General features: G+C 38.7%; 1 protein-coding gene across 17 annotated transcripts in view; it reads left to right on the top strand.

The window, feature by feature from the left end:
• Positions 1–19,903, top strand: part of ACSM1 (acyl-CoA synthetase medium chain family member 1) — a 74,446-nt gene that overhangs the window by 25,305 nt on the left and 29,238 nt on the right. For 16 of the 17 annotated variants that reach the window (XR_007064850.1, NM_001318890.3, XM_011545730.4 and 13 more), the window contains 3 exons: positions 705–845; positions 2,390–2,549; positions 10,503–10,582. Coding sequence is in view for 15 of the 17 variants with exons in the window: in NM_001318890.3 (NP_001305819.1) it covers positions 705–845; positions 2,390–2,549; positions 10,503–10,582 (381 nt within the window). In the remaining 2 variants the exon portion in view is untranslated. Of the gene's footprint in view, positions 1–704; positions 846–2,385; positions 2,550–10,502; positions 10,583–19,903 lie in introns of all 17 variants that reach the window. The other variant, NR_134918.2, reaches the window with a different exon arrangement.

Here is a 19,903-nt window from a genome sequence, read left to right as displayed (position 1 = left end):
CCAGGTTCACAACTAATCTCCTGGCTCAGCCTCCCGAGTAGCTGGGAGTATAAGCGCCCACCAGCATGCCCAACTAAATATATTTTTTTTACTCTCCCCCTTTCTCTCTTTCTCTTCCCCACCCCTCATCACCAAGGTCACAGAGTTTAATTTTAAAAAACAAGCTTAGCAGTCTGGTTAAGGGCACAGACTAGGATGCCGACTGAGTTTGAATCCTGGCTCTGCCATTTGCTAGCTGTATATTACCAAGCAAATTACCTAACCTCTCTGAGTCTCAGTTTCCTTACCTGCAAAATGGGCATGATTAGAGTAGTACTCATCTCCTAGGGTTGCTCTGAGTACTGAATGGTTCATATTTGTAACTCATTGAGAGCATTGCCTGGAACATAGCAAGTGCTATTCAAATGTTCATTAGATTACTTAATGAATTCATTAAATTACTTAAGATTCATTACTTAAATTACTTAAGATTAAATGACTTAAGATTCATTGTATTTTACTAATTTTTCAAATAAAAAAATGCTGGTCCACATGTCCGAATCACCCATCAAGTCAGTGTGATGCCTAACTCCGGGAGAGCCAGTTTTCCTCTAGTGTTGCAAACTCCCAGTTTCCTGTCCGTGCCTTATGTTTCTTTTGCATTCCCAGAAGATGAAGAAACAGCAATCATGACTTTTTTCCTTTTGTCTTGAACCCCTTTGCAGATCAGCATCCCCAGAACACACCTGTGTTAAGTCAAAGACCTTGGACCCAATGGTCATCTTCTTCACCAGTGGGACCACAGGCTTCCCCAAGATGGCAAAACACTCCCATGGGTTGGCCTTACAACCCTCCTTCCCAGGAAGGTAGGAAAGAGGGCACCGACATAGAGGCTGGACCCAGATGTGGGCAAAGTTTGTGTGTGTGTGTGTGTGTGTGTGTGTGTGTGTGTGTGTCTTGGGAAAGGAACTGGAAGTAGAAGTGACTACATACTCCTTTTCCCTTCCACTCTCTTTTGTTCAGACCTCTCAGGGTCTGAGAGGTGAAGGCTGGGAATCCTAAATGTTTGCTGACAGAGGCCTGAGAGTGACAAAGGAGGCACATTTAGGTTTTACCAGAGCATCTTCATAGGAGATGTGGAGGAAATGTGGGTAGAGACAGTAGACATTCCAGATGCCACACACATGACAAGCCTGACAGTGGTTCCATAATTTTGTAGGGAAAGACAGAATATTCTAGCAGGGTGACCTGAGATGACAGAGCCTCACCTCTCCCCTATTATGGGCAAATCAGACTTAGGGTTCCTCAATTATTCACTTCTAGGGAAGAAAATATCTGGAACCAAGCTATGCCAAGCCATCACCTCTAAGAGGGCAAAGCTCTATCCTTGGGTTAATTATTTAATCACCTGCAAACCAAACCTCTCCTTCTCTACGCCTTCTCATCTCCAACTAGTAATATTCAGAATGGACCAAATTCTTTATATTTTTTAATGTATTAACATATTAAACAGAATATGGAGCACAGATGTCTTTTTGTATTAACCCGAAGAGGGGCAGTGGGTATTTACACTAATGATGACAGTTGAGTAGCAAAACCCAGGGAGGAATGGAGGTGAGAGAAGGGAGAGCTTCTGTGCAGGTGGAATAATATGTGCAAAGACACAAAGATATAAAAAGTAGTATTCATAGAACTACAGAGACTTGGGAATATCTGGTGCTCAGGGTGTAGGGTGAAGGACCAATGGGAACAATTGGAAAAGTGAGCAGGACTCAGACCGTGCAGGGATTTGCAGACCTTGTAGTAGATTTTGGACTTTATTAGGAAAACAACGGGGAGATATTGAAAGTTTTTTAGGGAGGAGGAGATCTGATCAAATTTGTATTTTGATAAGATCATCATGGCTGCAGGATGCAGGATGGATTGGAGAAAATTAGAATAGAGTTAGGGAAGACCAGTTAAAGGCTCCTAGTCTAATCCAGGTGCAAGCTAGTAGTGGCATGGATCAGGTACTAGACATATGATGGAAATTAACACAGTTGAGATTTCAGGAAATAGAGTGGACCAGATCTGCTGGTTAAACATGGGAGATGGGAGGAGGTCAAGGTTGATGCCAAAGTTTGGGGCTTGGACAGTTTCATGGATAGGGATGACATGTCTGGTTACAGAGAACACTGGAGGAGAATCAGTTCAAGAGAGGTAGCATGATTGAACCAGTTTCAGTTGTACGTAATTGGGAAATATTTGGCAGTACACCTTTGAGACCTGGCCTGAGGGTGGTATGGAGCCCCACACAAATCACATGAACTGAGAGTGAGAAAGGTGGGTTCGTAGCTAAAAACCAGAGTGCACAGCCCTTCATCACATCAGCCATGATCACACAGCTGAGGCCACTGCATTTTGGAGTTAGTAGGAAATTACGGAGCCTGAAGACATCTGATGTCTCCTGGTGCCTGTCGGACTCAGGATGGATTGTGGCTACCATTTGGACCCTGGTAGAACCATGGACAGCGGGTTGTACAGTCTTTATCCACCATCTGCCACAGTTTGACACCAAGGTCATCATACAGGTAAGAAGACTCACCTTCCCCTATCAGCAAAATTCCAGAAAAAAATCCATGTTTCCTGGACCTTGCTAAAAAAATATTTTATTAAGCAAAGAAGCCCATGAGCCTAAGATGATCCTGAGCCTGGGCTTCTCAAAGTGTGATGCACTGAGTCTGAGTCACTATACCTGAGTCACATCAAAATGTGACCTTGAAGAAAATGTGTATTACTGGGCGATCCTTCAGACCTGTAGATCAGTCTTTGTAGACTTGGGACCCAGGATGTGCATTTTGAAAAATTAAAGCAAGCACAAGTCCAAGTCTCCCAGATCCTGGACCCTGATGCTGCCAGGGCCAAGCAGCTGGGGTGTGTGTGTGTGTGTGTGTGTGTGTGTGTGTGTGTGTGTGTTTTCTTACTCAATATGATAAAATGTTTAAAAACAGCCCTTGGAATATGACAGATCTAGCTTCTTATCCCACCTTTGAAATTAACTAGCAGGTTACATACCACTCTGAGCATCAGTTTCCTTATCTGCAAAATAGGTCTTTTAATAATTACTACCTCATAAAGTCTTAGGTAATATTAATGAGATGATAGAGGCGATATGTGTAAAGTACTTAACCCTGACATTAGCACATAGAAAACACTCTATCTGTGGGAGCTGCTGCTGCTATTGTTATGATGAGTACATCATGATGACAATTCAAGTCACCTGCATGAATTCTTTCTGTCTATGTCCCTTCACCCCAACATTTTCTTTATGTCTCCACTCACACCCTTGCTTTCCCTCTCAGAGGCAGACCTTGCCCTCCACCTCTCAAAATCCACCCGCTCTGCACAACCACTGCAGAGTTCTGTCTCCTGGCCTTGGATAAACAGCATTTCTTTATTAATCTTTAATCTACTATGCATTTTCTCCTGTATTTTCAGTCTCTCACTTTTCGCTAGTTTTACACCCTCAGTCCGTAAACATATTCAGTGTACTTATCCTAAAATGCCTTCCTTTGAACCTGCTACACACTGGGTCAACCCATCTTTTCCACCTTAATACCAAACTTCACCAAAGAACATCCTCCATTTGCTGCAGCCACCTCTGCTTCACCTAGCCTGCTCCTGAATACTGCAGTGCTCCAGTGGTCTGCCCTTACTGTTCTTCTTTCTAAGCAATTTCCTTCACCTCCATTTTTCTCAGCAAGCACATCAATGCAGGTGGCTGTCAGGACTGTACCTAGGGTCTAGTCTTCTCGGTCCAAGCTGATTCTCCCAGGCTAGCAAAACATTTCCAACCTGCTAGTTGGTAAAGCCCATCTGATCATTCCTCCAGAACATCAAACTGCACTTCCCATATCTCATTACCTACCTCTATATCAATGCCTCCTCCTGTGTCACCATCATTATTTTCTGTACCACATTCTGCACCTGAGACTTAAAGCACCACAAACAAGACTGACCACCCTTCCCATCCTCATGCCTAATTCTTCCGCTGCTATAGAGAGTGTCCCAAAAGGTCTTTATGTATTTTAAGCCTTAGTAAATGCTTAAAGTTTAAAATTCTACAAATTTACCAAAAAAGCATTTGCATTACTATTTCCCACTTACTATTTTTATGAATTATTCATAATAATTTTTAATTTAGATATTGTATTAGTCCATCTTATTGAAGACTAAAACAAAAAGTCTTTTAAATTTTTGATTCAGAGGGTGCATGTGCAGATTCGTTACATGAGTATATTGCATGATTCTGAGGTTTGGAGTAAGAATATTCTCATGACCCAGCTAGTGCATATAGTACCCAATAAGTTTTTCAGCCCACGACCCCCTCCCTGTCTCTCCCTTCTCATAGTGTCTATTGTTATCCCCAGCATCTATTGTTTCCAACTTTATGTCCATGTGTATTCAATGTTTAGTTCCCACTTATAAGTGAGAAAAAAATGATGTTTGGTTTTTTACTCCTGCATAAATTTACTTAGGATAACAGCCTCCAGCTTCATCCATGTTGCTGCCAAAGACATGATTTCATTCTTCTTTATGGCTGTGTAGTATTGCATGGTGTATATGTAGCACATTTTCTTTATACCAGTCCACCATTGATGGGCACCTAGGTCAATTTGATGTCTTTGCTATTGTGAATAGCACTGCCAATAACATATGAGCCTCTGTGTCTTCTTGGTAGAACCATTTATTTTCCTTTGGATATATACCCAGTAATGGGATTGCTGGGTCAAACGGTAGTTCTAAGTTTGTTGAGGAATTTTCAAATTGCTTTCCACAGTGGCTAAACTAATTTGCATTTCTATCAATAGTATATAAGCATTCCATTTTTTCCAAAGCCTCACCAGCATTTGTTTTTGACCTTTTAATAATCACCATTCTGATAGGTGTGAGATGGTATCTCACTGTGGTTTTAATTTGCATTTCTCTGATTAATGACATTGAGCATTTTTTCATATGTTTGTTGGATGCTTGCATGTCTTCTTTTGAGAAGTGTCTGTTTATGTACTTTGCCCATTTTTTAATTGGATTATTTGGGTTTTACTTGTTGATTTGTGTTCTTTGTAGATTCTGATATTAGTTCTAATTAGACATCACATATAAGAGTCTACAAATAACTTAAATTCTTTGTAGAATCTGGATATTTGATTCTGGATGTTGTCAGATGCATAGTTTGAAAATATTTTCTCCCACTCTGTAAGCTGTTTACTCTCTTGATAATTTCTTTTGCTGTGCTGAAGCTCTTTAGTTTAATTGGGTCCCACTTGTTAATTTTTGGTTTTGATGCAATTGGTTTTGGGGACTTAGCCATAAATTCTTTGCCATAGCTAATATCCAGAAGAGTATTTCCTAGATTTTCTTCTAGGATATTTACAGTGTAATGTTTTATATTTAAATCCTTACTCCATCTTGAGTTAATTTTTGTATATGGCGAAAGGTAGGAGCCCAGGTTTATTCTGCTACATATGGCTAGCCAGTTTTCCCAGCACCATTTATGGAATAGGAAGTCCTTTCTCCATTGCTTATTTTTGTTCACTTTGTTGAAGACCATATGGCTATAGCTGTGACTTCTCTATTGTGTTTCACTGGTGTATTTGTCTGTTTTTGTACCAGTACCATGCTGTTTTGGTTACTGTAGCCTTATGACATAGTTTGAAGTTGGGCAACGTGATGCCTCTAGCTTTGTTCTTTTCAGTATTCAAGCCCTTTTTGGTACTATATGAGTTTTAAAGTCGTTTTTTCTGATTCTGTGAAAAATGACATTGGTATTTTAATAGGCATAGCATTGAATCTATAAATTGCTTTAGGCAATATGGTCATGTTAACAATATTGATTCTTCCAATATATGAGCATGGAATCTTTTTCCATTTATTTGTGTCATCTCTGATTTCTTTCAGCAGTGTTTTGTAGTTTTCTTTGTAGCCATCTTTCACCTCCTTGGTTAGATGTATTCTTAGGTATTTCATTTTTAGTGGTAGTTGTAAATCAGATTGTGTTCTTGATTTGACTGTCAGCTAGAACATTGTTGGTGTATGGAAATGCTAATTTTTGTACACTGATTTTATATCCTGGAACTTTACTGAAGTTGTTTATCCGTTCCAGGAACCCTTTGGTAGAGTTTTTAGGGTTTTTTAATGTATATAATCATATATTGTCAGCAAAAAGAGATAGTTTGACTTTTTTTCTATTTGAATATCTTTTATTTCTTTCTCTTGCTTGATTGCTTTGGGTAGGACTTCCAATTCTATGTTGAATAGGAGTGGTGAGAGTGGGCATCCTACACTTTTTCCAATTCGCATGGGAAATGGTTCCAGCTTTTGCCTGGTCAGTGTGATGCTGGCTGTGGGCTTGTCATAGATGGCTATTATTTAGAGGTATGTTCTTTCAATGCCTCATTTCTTGAGGGGCTTTATCATGAAGAGAGATTGGATTTTTTGAAAGCTTTTTCTGCACCTACTAAGAGGATCATATGGCTTTTCTTTTTTATTCTGTTTAAGAGGTGAATCCTGTTTATTGATCTGCATATGTTGACCCAACCTTGCATCCCAGGAATAAAGCCTACTTGATCATGGTGAATTAACTTTTTGATGTGCTGCAGGACTCAGTTTACTAGTATTTTGTTGAGAATTTTTGCATCTACGTTTATCAGGGATATTGGCCTGGAGTTTTCTTTTGTCATTGTATCTCTGCCATATTTTGGTGCCAAAAGCATTCTGGCTTCATAGAATGGTTAGAAAGGAGTCCCTTCTCCTTAATCTTTTGGATTAGTTACAGAGGGATTGGTACCAGTTCTTTGTATATCTGTTAGAATTCAGCTGTGATTCTATCTTGTCCAGGGCTTTTTGGGATTAGTAATTACTGATTCAATTTCAGAACTTGTAATTTGTCTGTTCAGGTTTTCACTTTCTTTCTGGTTCAATGTTGAGAGGCTGTGTGTTCCCAAGAATTTATCCATTTCCTGTAGATTTTCTAATTCAGGTGCATCAGTGTGTTCATAATAGTCTCTGAGAATCTTTTATATTTCTGTGGGACCATTTATAGTGTCATCTATGTCATTTCCGATTGGGCTTATTTTGATCTTCTCATTTTTTTCTTTGTTAATCTAGCTAGCAGTCTATCAATATTGTTTATTCTTTTGAAAAACAAGCTCTCAGTTTCATTGATATTTTGTATAAACTTTTGCATCTTAATTTCATTCAGTTCTTTAATTTTAATTATTTATTTTCTTCTGATAGCTTTGGTGTTTGTTGGTTGTTCTTTTTTTTCCTAGTTCCTCTAGAAGTGATATTAGATTCTTAATTAGCGATCTTTCTAACTTCTTAATGAAGGCATTTAGTGCTATAAACTTTCCTCTAACATTGCTTCAGGTGCATCTCAACGATTTTGGTAGATGGTATCTCTATTTTCATTTTCATTAATTTCAGAAACTTTTTTGACTTCTTGTTCACCCAAGAGTTATTCAGGAGAAAATTGTTTAATTTCCATGTTTTTATATGGTTTTCAGTGATCTTGTTGACATTGATTTCTGTTTTTCTTGCACTGTGGTCTAACAATGTACTTTGGTAAGATTTTGATTTTTTGAATTTATTGAGACTTGCTTTATGACTGAACCTGTGGTCAATTTTAGAATATGTTCCACGTGGGAACAAGAAGAATGTATATTCTGTGGTTGTTAGGTAAATTATTCTGTGGATGTCTATTAGGTCCAATTGGTCAAATGTTGAGTTTAAGTCCATAATTTCTTTGTTAGTTTTCTGTCTCAATCATGTGTCTAACATTTTCAGTGTGTTGTTGAAGTCCCCCACTATTTTTGTTTGGCAAAATCTTTTTATAGGTCAAGAAGAACTCACCTTATAAATCTAGGTGTTCCAACATTTGGTGTGCATATATTCAGGACGGTTAAGTCTTCTTGTCGAACTGAACCATTTATCATTATATAATGCCCTCCTTTGTCCTTCCTAATCATTGCTGGTTTAAAGTCTGTTTTTATCTGATATAAGAATAAGGACTCCTGCTCTTTTCTGTTTTTCATTTGTGTGGCAGATATTTCTCCATTTCTTTGCTTAGAGCCTGTGGGCATCATTACTTGTGAGATGGGTCTCATGAAGACAGAAGACAGTTGGGTATTTTCTTTGTATCCATCTTCCCACTCTGCCTTTTAAAGGGGGCATTTAGACCAAAAATAAATAAATAAATAAATAAATAAATACTATTCAATTTAGTAAAACAAAACATTCCTTCTATTTCCTCTCTACCCACCCCTGTCAACTTAGTCCTTGCCAAATCTGTTGCAAGAGTCTGCTGATCTCCGTTCCACACCCCTACTGAAAGCTGCAAAGCACCAGGAGTAGTCATAGATTACAACTTACATGATAATAGCCAGAGCCCACATTTGATGAACACCTACTAAGTGCCAATTTCTGGGAAAGGCCTTAGACACCTATGATGTCTAATTCTTACCTACTAAGCAGAGCTCCCTTGGCTGCCAGTAACAGAAGCCTACTTCAACGTAGCTTAGTGGAAAAAGAAATACACGGAAGGGGGAACTAGAATAGCTCATTATTCTGTAGGAGAAGAGCAATATGAGCTTGATAAAGATCTAAAACAGAAAGTAGAAAGATACCAGCAATTAAGGCAGCTTCAGTGTCTCCTCTGCTTTTCTCTATAGATGTGCTTCCTTGTTTCTGTTTGTAGAAACACTTTTGCTACTTCACATGCACATAGTCAAACATAGCAATCACAGCATTTCAGGGCGACATTCCCCCTTCCCAGATAACCAGTCCAGGTCAACTAGAGGCTGAGTGAGTGGTCCAGAATGTTGGGGTGATCAGACCCAACACAAGGCCGTGGAGGCTACAAAGTCCGGCGGAGTCAAAGGAATCAGAAAAGACAAGTTAAGAGTGCATAAGGTGGGTCCAGGGGACCAACACTGGTATGGAGGCTGTGAAGACCCCAAGCTCTGGGAGCCCACACTATTTATTGGTGATCAAACAAAGAAGCAGGTGGTGAGGACATGCGGATGTGGGGGTAAAGAGGTGAGGATGGGAGGACATGGGGGTAGAAAAGTAGCAGTGCATCAAGCATAACTGTGACGGTTTAGCATTTTCTTTGATGCATATGTAATATGCTCTGCTACCTGAGATAATGGAGAACATATTTATGAGCCTGGGAGAGTAGCCAACAAGTCTGTGCACATTCCAGAGGCCACAAGGGGTTTTATGCCCTGGGCTTAGATTATGGTGCGGCAGGGCAGCCTTCCACCCTTTGGCACAGAGATTGGTGTCCCAAAGGCCACAAGGGGGTTTAGGCCCTGGACCCAGGACATGTTCCAAGACTCTTTTACATCATGACAGAGAAGCCAGTCCTGCCTCAGCTCTTCTACCAACACAGCCTAAGGCAATTGTCTGTCACCAAGTCAGCAATCCAACTCACTGTGCCTGGGGTGAGGTTACTGACACAGACATTGCTGGAGTGGGCCTGAGACTTTCACAGACATGTAAAGACACCTGTTGGGGTAGGGGCAGTGGGCCAGGGGTGAGAGTAGGACAAAAATTTTAAAAGCATATATAAATGTGAGATATTAAAGAGATAGAGGCTAGAGATTGAAAGCTGATTGGGTCTTTATGAAGGGAGGGACTGGAAGTAGAGCTAGATTTGTCCACAAATGACAATTATATTTCATCATGATTCTAAATGGAATATATGGACGTTCCCATTTTACAGATAAGGAAATTGAATTACAGACAAATTAAGTAACAGGATTTAAATTAAGATACCCAAACCCACTTTCTCTTCTCTTTACTGTTCTTCACTCTCTTAGTGTATCTCCACCCTGATCTGAAACTCGGAAAGAAAACACATCCAGCCAATTAATCATGAGTACCAAACATTTTAGAGTCTAAATAACCTGGCTCCAACTTACCTTATCTTCCTAAATTTAATTCTTGCTCCTCTCTAGTGGGTCTAAATAAATCATATTATTTGACTTGACTGAAATGTTTCTTTAGCTCCTGAGACCCTATTTCTTGTTATTTCATCTATCTCCAAGAGACTCCCACTCTCCCTGCCTGTAGACACCATATCTATTTGCTAATGTCCTGACTAAATACCACCTCTTCCATCAAGCCCCTGGGACACACAACTAGAAAGAGTATTTCCCTCTCCTGTGTTCCTACAGAACTTTTGTACTTCAAGTATTTCTTATGACATCTACCCACTTCTGCCTTATCATTCGAGTCCTGTTTTATCCTATTAGTGGCTACTCACCATAGGAGTTGGAACGTTATCTGCGTTTTTGTATTTCCCCAACAGTACCTGATGCATACCATGTATGAAATCCATGCTCAGTATGTGTGTATTTAAAGGATTAAGAAATTAACAAATGGGCTCTTCTAGTGGGAAGGTCAGAACTAGACTGCTAATAATTGGCTGTTAGTTTAACCTTAACTGTAAAAATAAAATTTCTTCTCTCTTCCCTTTCCAGACATTGTTGAAATACCCCATTAACCACTTTTGGGGGGTATCATCTATATATCGAATGATTCTGCAGCAGGATTTCACCAGGTATGGTAGAAGTGGCTTGTAACAACATCTTTGGGTAAGATTTTAAGGAATCTGATACATCATGGTCTGTTTTTCTTCTGGTTCTTTGAGGAGTGTGTGTGTGTTTGTGTGTTAAGTGTTGGTGGCGATGATGATCAAAAGTTAATTAGTTAAAGCAAATCCAGAGATCCAAAGGAAACTCAGTGAGCCTTGCATGATTGTGGGTTGATTCCTTTTTAAACATTTCAGTTGTAAAATAACAATTGTACAGAAAATGCATAAGACAGAAATTTACAGATTAATAAATTATTGAAATTAAAATATCTGTGTAACCCACTCACCAAGTCAAAAAAACATAACATTGCCAGTACCTCAGAGACTTCCATCTCCCTTAAAGGAAACAACTATCTTGACCTTTATGTTGTTAATTCCTTACTTGCCTTTATAATTTACCTCCTAAGGAACTATCCCTAACCAAAATTTTATTTTACATGTGTTCGAATTTTAAACAGGTAATGCTACATTATTATATAATAATTGTGTTTCTAAGATGTGTCCCTGTTGTTGCATATTGCTGTAGTTTATCTTAATTGTGTGCAGCATCCTATTTTATGAAAATACCACAATTTCTTATACCAGTCCTACCATTAATGGACATTTCTGTAGTTTTCGCTTTGAGGCTATTGATGTTTAATGCTACATAGAATCCTAGGACATGCACCCTGGTGTGTACAAGCATGCATTTCTGTAGAGTTTTTCAAGGAGAGGAATTGCGGGTCACACTGATACAACACAATACCATACTATCTTCCAAACCAATTTATGCTTCTTTATATAAGCAGGGCAGGAGAATTTCCATTGTTCCATGTTCCTGCCAACATTTGGTATTGTCAGACTTATTAATTTTTGCCAGGCTGGTGGGTGTGTGGTGTTATCTTAATACAACTTTATTTTTGCATCTTCCTATGTTTGAGAATTAATTTTAAGCTAAACCAAAACACACTCTTTGAAACTTATGGATATTTATGTATCTTTTAGGGACTCTGAAATTGAAATGGCTAGTTCAAAAATCAGAGCTAATATGTTTTAGACATAAAAGTTAAAATATCAGAGTTTAATGATTGCCCTTACAGAGCTAACTCTGAATTATAATTTGATTTTACTCATGAAGCTTCAGTCTGGCTGTATTCTGTTTCCATCTGTATTTCAAAGCTCATATGACAGCCAAGTTTTGGAACATTCCTCACATGATGGCCTTGGTCCAAACTTGGCACACATCTTATCATGGCATAACTAATGATTCCATCTGAGACTCTGCCCACTTTATGTACTTTGGTTTAGCTTCAAAAGAATGAGGAAGAGATCCTCAGTGAACACAACCCTCCTATCCTCACTCTTGACCCTGTCTGTATCAGGAGAGGGTAGTGAGGTGGAAAAGTGGTCTAGATGGTGCCACTTTCCTCATCACCAAGAGCTGGCTGGGCTGAGCCTCATGCTAGATGCATCCAGCTGGCTTTCAAACTTCCATCACTTTTCTCCATTTTCTTCAGGGAATCTAATTATTATTTTGTGATTGTTTTTGTATTCTTTGGGAAAATTTCATGGGAAAAAGGGACAAGAGACTTTATATCACATGCTGTACATAGGAAACTACTACTGTTGATGAAAAAAGTGAAACTCTGGAAAATATTTTTAGAGATTTATTCTGAGCTAAATATGAGTGACCATGACCCATGACACAGCCCTCAGGAGGTCCTGAGAACATGTGCCCAAGGTGGTCAGGATGCATCTTGGTTTTATATATTTTAGGGAGGCGTGAGACATCAATCAAATACATTTAAGAAACACATTGGTTTGGTTCAGAAAGGCAGGACAATGCAAAGCGGGGTCTTTCAGGTTATAGGTAAATTTAAACATTTTGTCATTGATGATTAGTTTATCTGAAGACCTGGGATCAAAGGAAATGTTCAGGTTAAGAGAAAGGATTGTGGAAACCAAGTTTTATTGTGCAGAGGAAACTCTCAGATAGCAGACTTCAGAGAGAAAGGTTGTAAAATGTGTCTTATCGGACTTAAAAGGGGTGCCTGGTTCTTAGTTGATTATCTCCTGGATATGGAAAGGAAGGAAGGAAAATGAAGGGGAAAGTGGATTCTCTATAGAATGTGGACTTTTCCCACAAGAGACTTTGCAGGGCAATTTCAAGATATGGCGGAGAAACATGTTTTGGGGTACAATATTTTGATTTTCTTCCTTGTCTCGTAATGTTATGCCAGAGTCAGATTGGAAAGTTAAGTCACAATATACAGGGTTAAATAAAACCCATCTGATGAGAATTTATGGTTTGTAAGGTATGACTCCCCAGGCACCTTAGATAGGAATTTGGGCAAGATTGTAAAAATCAGAGCTCAGTCCTCAGTCCCCGCTCTTGGCCAAAAAGCATTCCATAGAATGCACATGTAGGCCAACAAACAGCAGCAGGTCCCATGGCACTAGGAAGACTCATTCCTAGAGTTGTCTGATTTGGCCATCTGGCAGGGTCCCACAGTGCTAGGAAAGCTTGTTCCTAGAGTCCTCTGATTTGATGGTAATAGTTTTAAACACTAGCGTTTTGGATAATGGGGGGAAGACCTGGAGTTTAAGGGGTGAGATGGAGTCAGGCTTAGGGTTTAGTCTTTTACAAAAAAATCCCAGATCAGATCTATGTTCTGAGTTATCATGATCTGAGTCTTTAATTGTGCCTTTCCCTTTTGCTGTATCTGGCATAACATTTACAAGAAAATGTCTATCATAAAGATAGTGAAGATTTGGGTATCCAAGGTTATAGGTGGCATCAGAGAGCAGAAAGAATATTTCAGCCAGAATAAACACTGCATACATCATCATATTCTTTGATCAGACTCACAATGTGGTTACCTTACTTATTAAGGGTTATTTCAACCCTCTGATAAATCTTATTTGGAAATTACGGGACCAACATTAAATTGGAATTTAATAAATTTAATCTCTTTTCCGGCCAATTTGTCTCCATAGGTATAGCATCCTGAGGAGGGTGTAAATTAAATGCAAGAAACACCTGTTCCTCAATATCTAAATTCTTATAGCCTTGTTAATATAGACGAATCTATTCTTCCCACCACTTTTGTATTGCACCATATACTGGTATTTGGGAGAGAAAAGGTTTTGTCACAGGAGAAGTCATAATTCTGCACCGTCATTTTTTCCTTGGCAGGACTGCCCATGGCTGAAGACCTTAAAAGTCAAAAGACTTATAGCCAATTAATTGTTCTAGGCCAGATAGGAATGGATGTGGACAGGCATTGATTACTTCTAGAAATGATTTTAAGTCAAAAAAAAAAGAACAACCCCATCAAAAAGTGGGTGAAGGATATGAACAGACACTTCTCAAGAGAAGACATTTATGCAGCCAACAGACACATGAAAAAATGCTCATCATCACTGGCCATCAGAGAACTGCAAATCAAAACCACAATGAAATACCATCTCACACCAGTTAGAATGGCGATCATTAAAAAGTCAGGAAACAACAGGTGCTAGAGAGGATGTGGAGAAATAGGAACACTTTTACACTGTTGGTGGGACTGTAAATTAGTTCAACCATTTTGGAAGACAGTGTGATGATTCCTCAAGGATCTAGAACTAGAAATACCATTTGACCCAGCAATCCCATTACTGGTTATATACCCAAAGGATTGTAAATCATGCTGCTATAAAGACACATGCACATGTATCTTTATTGTGGCACTATTCACAATAGCAAAGACTTGGAACCAACCCAAATGTCCAAAAATGATAGACTGGATTATGAAAATGTGGCACATATACACCATGGAATACTATGCAGCCACAAAAAATGATGAGTTCATGACGTTTGCAGGGACATAGATGAGGCTGGAAACCATCATTCTCAGCAAACTATCACAAGGACAAAAAACCAAACACTGCATGTTCTCCCTCATAGGTGGGAGTTGAACAATGAGAACACATGGACACAGGAAAGGGAACATCACACATCAGAGCCTGTTGTGGGGTGGCGGGAGGGGGGAGGGATAACATTAGGAGATATACCTAATGCTAAATGATGAGTTAATGGGTGCAGCACACCATCGTGGCACATGTATCCATATGTAACAAACCTGCACGTTGTGCACATGTACCCTAAAACTTAAGGTATAATAAAAAAAAAAACATTGGGCACAGTGGCTTATGCCTGTAATCCCAGCACTTTGGGAGGCCGAGGTGGGTGGATCACCTGAGGTCAGGAGTTTGAGACCAGCCTGGCCAACATTGTGAAACCCTGTCTCTATTAAAAGTATAAAAGTTAGCTGGGCGTGGTCGTGGGCACCTGTAATCCCAGCTACTCAGGAGGCTGAGGCAGGAAAATTGCTTGAACACAGGAGGCAGAGGTTGCAGTGAGCTGAGATCGCACTGCTGCACTCCAGCCTGGGTGACAAGAGAGAGACTCTGTGTGAAAAAAACAAAAAACAAAAAACAAAACCAAAAAAACAAACCCAAAAAAACAAACCCAACAATAGAACCAAAAGGCAAAGTTACAAGACTGGCTTCTTTTTAACTTTTATGTGTTGAGTTACTGTAAGCTTAGTTTCTGTTACATACTTACAGCAATTAGCTACTCAAAATATAAGCATTGTTCTGAAAAATAATTTAAAATATGTATATATGTATAGACATATTTATCTTCACAACTTATAACTGGCAGTATTATACCCAGGAGGGTTTGTTACAAGGTACTTTATCCTATTAGTAAATATATATATTTTTTAATTTTATAGGAAGCAGAAAATGTTTGTGGTTGGGATGTATGCAAAAGTGACACATAATAGTTTAGAAGACAACTAAACTTGTTTTACCAGCTGTTTAGGCATTTTTTTTTTTTTTGTAACCTCTTCTTGATTTGGAGGGTTTGGTCTTGTTCTAATTTTATCCCTCAAAGCTGGCCCTTACAATCTTACATGCCCACCTCTTCCGTGATAGTTCCTGGGCCCAGAGGGAGCAACTTGTATAGTTTTGGCAGCAGAGCATTTGCAGTGAAACAGATCCAGGCCCAGCGGGATGTCAAATGAGTTTCATATGGTCTTCAGAGTACCATCATATTGGCTTCCTTGAAGTAAACAAGGAAAGATAAATAACATTCATAGTTTGACAGTTAGGAGAGTTACTATCCTTCATTATAAAGCAACTCTTAAATGTTTCTTAACCAAAAAGAAATTTACATTTTTTGAGAATTGACATCTTTGTGTTTATAAAATGTTAACAAATGCTGCATATTTTGTGCTTCTATTATTTTAACTTTTTAGTCACCCAAATTTCCACTCGGTGGGGTGGGGTGCAAAACCCGAGGGTTAAATCATGACTTTAAGATTTTTAAATTACTGGAGAATTTTGAGATTAAATTTACCAAATTAAATTTTTACCACAGATTATCAAGGTTATGTAAATTAAAAGGGCATCTGAGCTAGTTTTTGCCAATCTGACAGGCACTTAACATTTTTTAAAGTTAGTTGATTAGAACTCTTTCATGTAGTTTGGAAGTGAAATATCACTTCCACATGACACATATAAATATAGAGATATAACAGGCATGCAGAATAAAAGACATGCTCAAAAGTTACTTCACTTGCCTGTTTTCAAAAACAATTTTTCTCCCTTACTTTATATAACTAGTAAAAGTTACAGGAGCCAACAAAAGGTGAAGGAAAGAGCCGTCCTTCAAAGCCTTTTCAACAGAGAAAGAGTAGCACTTTTAAGATATCAACCTGAAGAATGTTAAAGAAACAATTAAAAATTTAAAAACTTCTTGCATTAAAAATAAGTCAGCCAGGCACAGTGACTCATGCCTGTAATACTGACATTTTGGGAGGCTGAGGTGTGCGGATCACAAGGTCAGGAGTTCGAGACCAGCCTGGCCAATATGATGAAACTCCATGTCTACTAAAAATAGAAAAATTAGCCAGGGGTGGTGGTGCCTACCTATAGTCCCAGTTACTCAGGAGGCTGAGGCAGGAGAATTGCTTGAACCCAGGAGCTGGAGGTTGCAGTGAGCTGAGATCATGCCACTGCACTCCAGCCTGGGTGACAGAGTGAGACTCCATCTCAAAAACAAAACAAAACAAAATAAAATAATAAGACAATATTTGTAATAAAATCTTGCTTTAACCAATTAGTTTTGTACTACTGCATTTTTAAAAATATTAAAGACCCATCTCTAGAAAGATTATCATGATTTATTTTTAGTTATAGACAACTAAATTACACAACTCCTTTAAAAATTTATTTTATTAATGTTATTATGACTTACATAGTTCATTCACAAGCGTTCAGACTGTTTTATCTTAAATATCCCTCTTTCTTTTTTTATTTTATTTTATTTTATTTTTTATTATACTTTAAGTTCTAGGGTACATGTGCACAACGTACAGGTTTGTTACATATGTATACATGTGCCATGTTGCTGTGCTGCACCCATTAACTCGTCATCTACATTAGGTATATCTCCTAATGTGCTCCCTCCCCCCTCCCCCCACCCCACAACAGGCCCTGGTGTGTGATGTTCCCTTTCCTGTGTCCATGTATTCTCATTGTTCAATTCCCACCTATGAGGGAGAACATGCAGTGTTTGGTTTTTTGTCCTTGTGATAGTTTGCTGAGAATGATGGTTTCCAGCTTCATCCACGTCCCTAGAAAGGACATGAACTCATCATTTTTTATGGCTGCATAGTATTCCATGGTGTATATGTGCCACATTTTCTTAATCCAGTCTATCATTTTTGGACATTTGGGTTGGTTCCAAGTCTTTGCTATTGTGAATAGTGCCACAATAAACATACGTGTGCATGTGTCTTTATAGCAGCATGATTTATAATCCTTTGGGTATATACCCAGTAATGGGATTGCTGGGTCAAATGGTATTTCTAGTTCTAGATCCTTGAGGAATTGCCACACTGTCTTCCACAATGATTGAACTAATTTACAGTCCCACCAACAGTGTAAAAGTGTTCCTATTTCTCCACATCCTCTCTAGCACCTGTTTCCTGACTTTTTAATGATCGCCATTCTAACTGGTGTGAGATGGTATCTCATTGTGGTTTTGATTTGCAGTTCTCTGATGGCCAGTGATGATGAGCATTTTTTCATGTGTCTGTTGGCTGCATAAATGTCTTCTTTTGAGAAATGTCTGTTCATATCCTTCGCCCACTTTTTGATGGGGTTTTTTGTTGTTTTCTTGTAAATTTGTTTGAGTTGTTTGTAGATTCTGGATATTAGCCCTTTGTCAGATGAGTAGATGGCAAAAATTTTCTCCCATTCTGTAGGTTAACTGTTCACTCTGATGGTAGTTTCTTTTTTTGTGCAGAAGCTCTTTAGTTTAAATAGATCCCATTTGTCGATTTTGGTTTTTGTTGCCATTGCTTTTGGTGTTTTAGACATGAAGTCCTTGCCCATGCCTGTGTCCTGAATGGTATTGCCTAGGTTTTCTTCTAGGGTTTTTATGGTTTTAGGTCTAACATTTCAGTCTTTAATCCATCTTCAATTAACTTTTGTATAAGGGGAAGGGATCCAGTTTCAGCTTTCTACATATGGCTAGCCAGTTATCCCAGAGCCATTTATTAAACAGGGAATCCTTTCCCCATTTCTTGTTTTTGTCAGATTTGTCAAAGATCAGATGGTTGTAGATGTTTGGTATTATTTCTGAGGGCTGTATTCTGTTCCATTGGTCTATATGTCTGTTTTGGTAACAGTACCATGCTGTTTTGGTTACTGTAGCCTTGTGGTATCGTTTGAAGTCAGGTAGCGCGATGCCTCCACCTTTGTTGTTTTGGCTTAGGATTGCCTTGACAATGCAGGCTCTTTTTTGGTTCCATATGAACTTTAAAGTAGTTTTTTCCAATTCTGTGAAGAAAGTCATTGGTAGCTTGATGGGGATGGCATTGAATCTATAAATTACCTTGGGCAGTATGGCCATTTTCACGATATTGATTCTTCCTACTCATGAGCATGGAATGTTCTTCCATTTGTTTGTGTCCTCTTTTATTTTGTTGAGCAGTGGTTTATAGTTCTCCTTGAAGAGGTCCTTCACATCCCTTGTAAGTTGGATTCCTAGGTATTTTATTCTCTTTGAAGCAATTGTGAATGGGAGTTCACTCATGATTTGGCTCTCTGTTTGTCTATTATTGGTGTATAAGAATGCTTGTGATTTTTGCACATTGATTTTGTATCCTGAGATTTTGCTGAAGTTGCTTATCAGCTTAAGGAGATTTTGGGCTGAGACGATGGGGTTTTTTAAATATACAATCATGTCATCTGCAAACAGGGTCAATTTGACTTCCTCTTTTCCTAATTGAATAGCCTTCATTTCTTTCTCCTGCCTGATTGCCCTGGCCAGAACTTCCAACACTATGTTGAATAGGAGTGGTAAGAGAGGGCATCCCTGTCTTGTGCCAGTTTTCAAAGGGAATGCTTCCAGTTTTTGCCCATTCAGTATGATATTTGCTGTGGGTTTGTCATAAATAGCTCTTATTATTTTGAGATATGTCCCATCAATACCTAATTTATTGAGAGTTTTTAACATGAGGGGCTGTTGAATTTTGTCAAAGGCCTTTTCTGCATCTATTGAGATAATCATGTGGTTTTTATATTTGTTTCTGTTTATATGCTGGATTTTGTTTATAGATTTGCATATGTTGAACCAGCCTTGCATCCCAGGGATGAAGCCCACCTGATCATGGTGGATAAGCTTTTTGATGTGTTGCTGGATTCAGTTTGCCAGTATTTTCTTCAGCATTTTTACATCGATGTTCATCAGGGATATTGGTCTAAAATTCTCTTTTTTGGTTGTGTCTCTGCCAGGCTTTGGTATCAGGATGATGTTGGCCTCATAAAAAGAGTTAGGGAGGATTCCCTCTTTTTCTATTGATTGGAATAGTTTCAGAAGGAATGGTACCAGCTCCTCCTTGTACCTCTGGCAGAATTCGGCTGTGAATCTATCTGGTCCTGGGCCTTTTTTGGTTGGTAGGCTATTATTTATTGCCTCAATTTCAGAGCCTGTTATTGGTCTATTCAGGGATTCAACTTCTTCCTGATTTAGTCTTGGGAGGGTGTTTGTGTCCAGGAGTTTATCCATTTCTTCTAGATTTTCTAGTTTATTTGTGTAGAGGTGTTTATAGTATTCTCTGACGGTAGTTTGTATTTCTGTGGTATCAGCGGTGATATCCCCTTTATCATTTTTTTAAATATCCCTCTTTCTTGTGTAATCCCATCATTTTTATTTTAGGACAAAAATTTACCATACAAGATTCTTTCTTATAT

Source organism: Homo sapiens, chromosome 16 (assembly GCF_000001405.40).
Source record: "Homo sapiens chromosome 16, GRCh38.p14 Primary Assembly".
Lineage (NCBI taxonomy): Eukaryota > Metazoa > Chordata > Mammalia > Primates > Hominidae > Homo > Homo sapiens.
The sequence above is the reverse complement of the archived record's forward strand: the minus strand, read 5'-3'. Positions and strand labels throughout refer to the sequence as shown.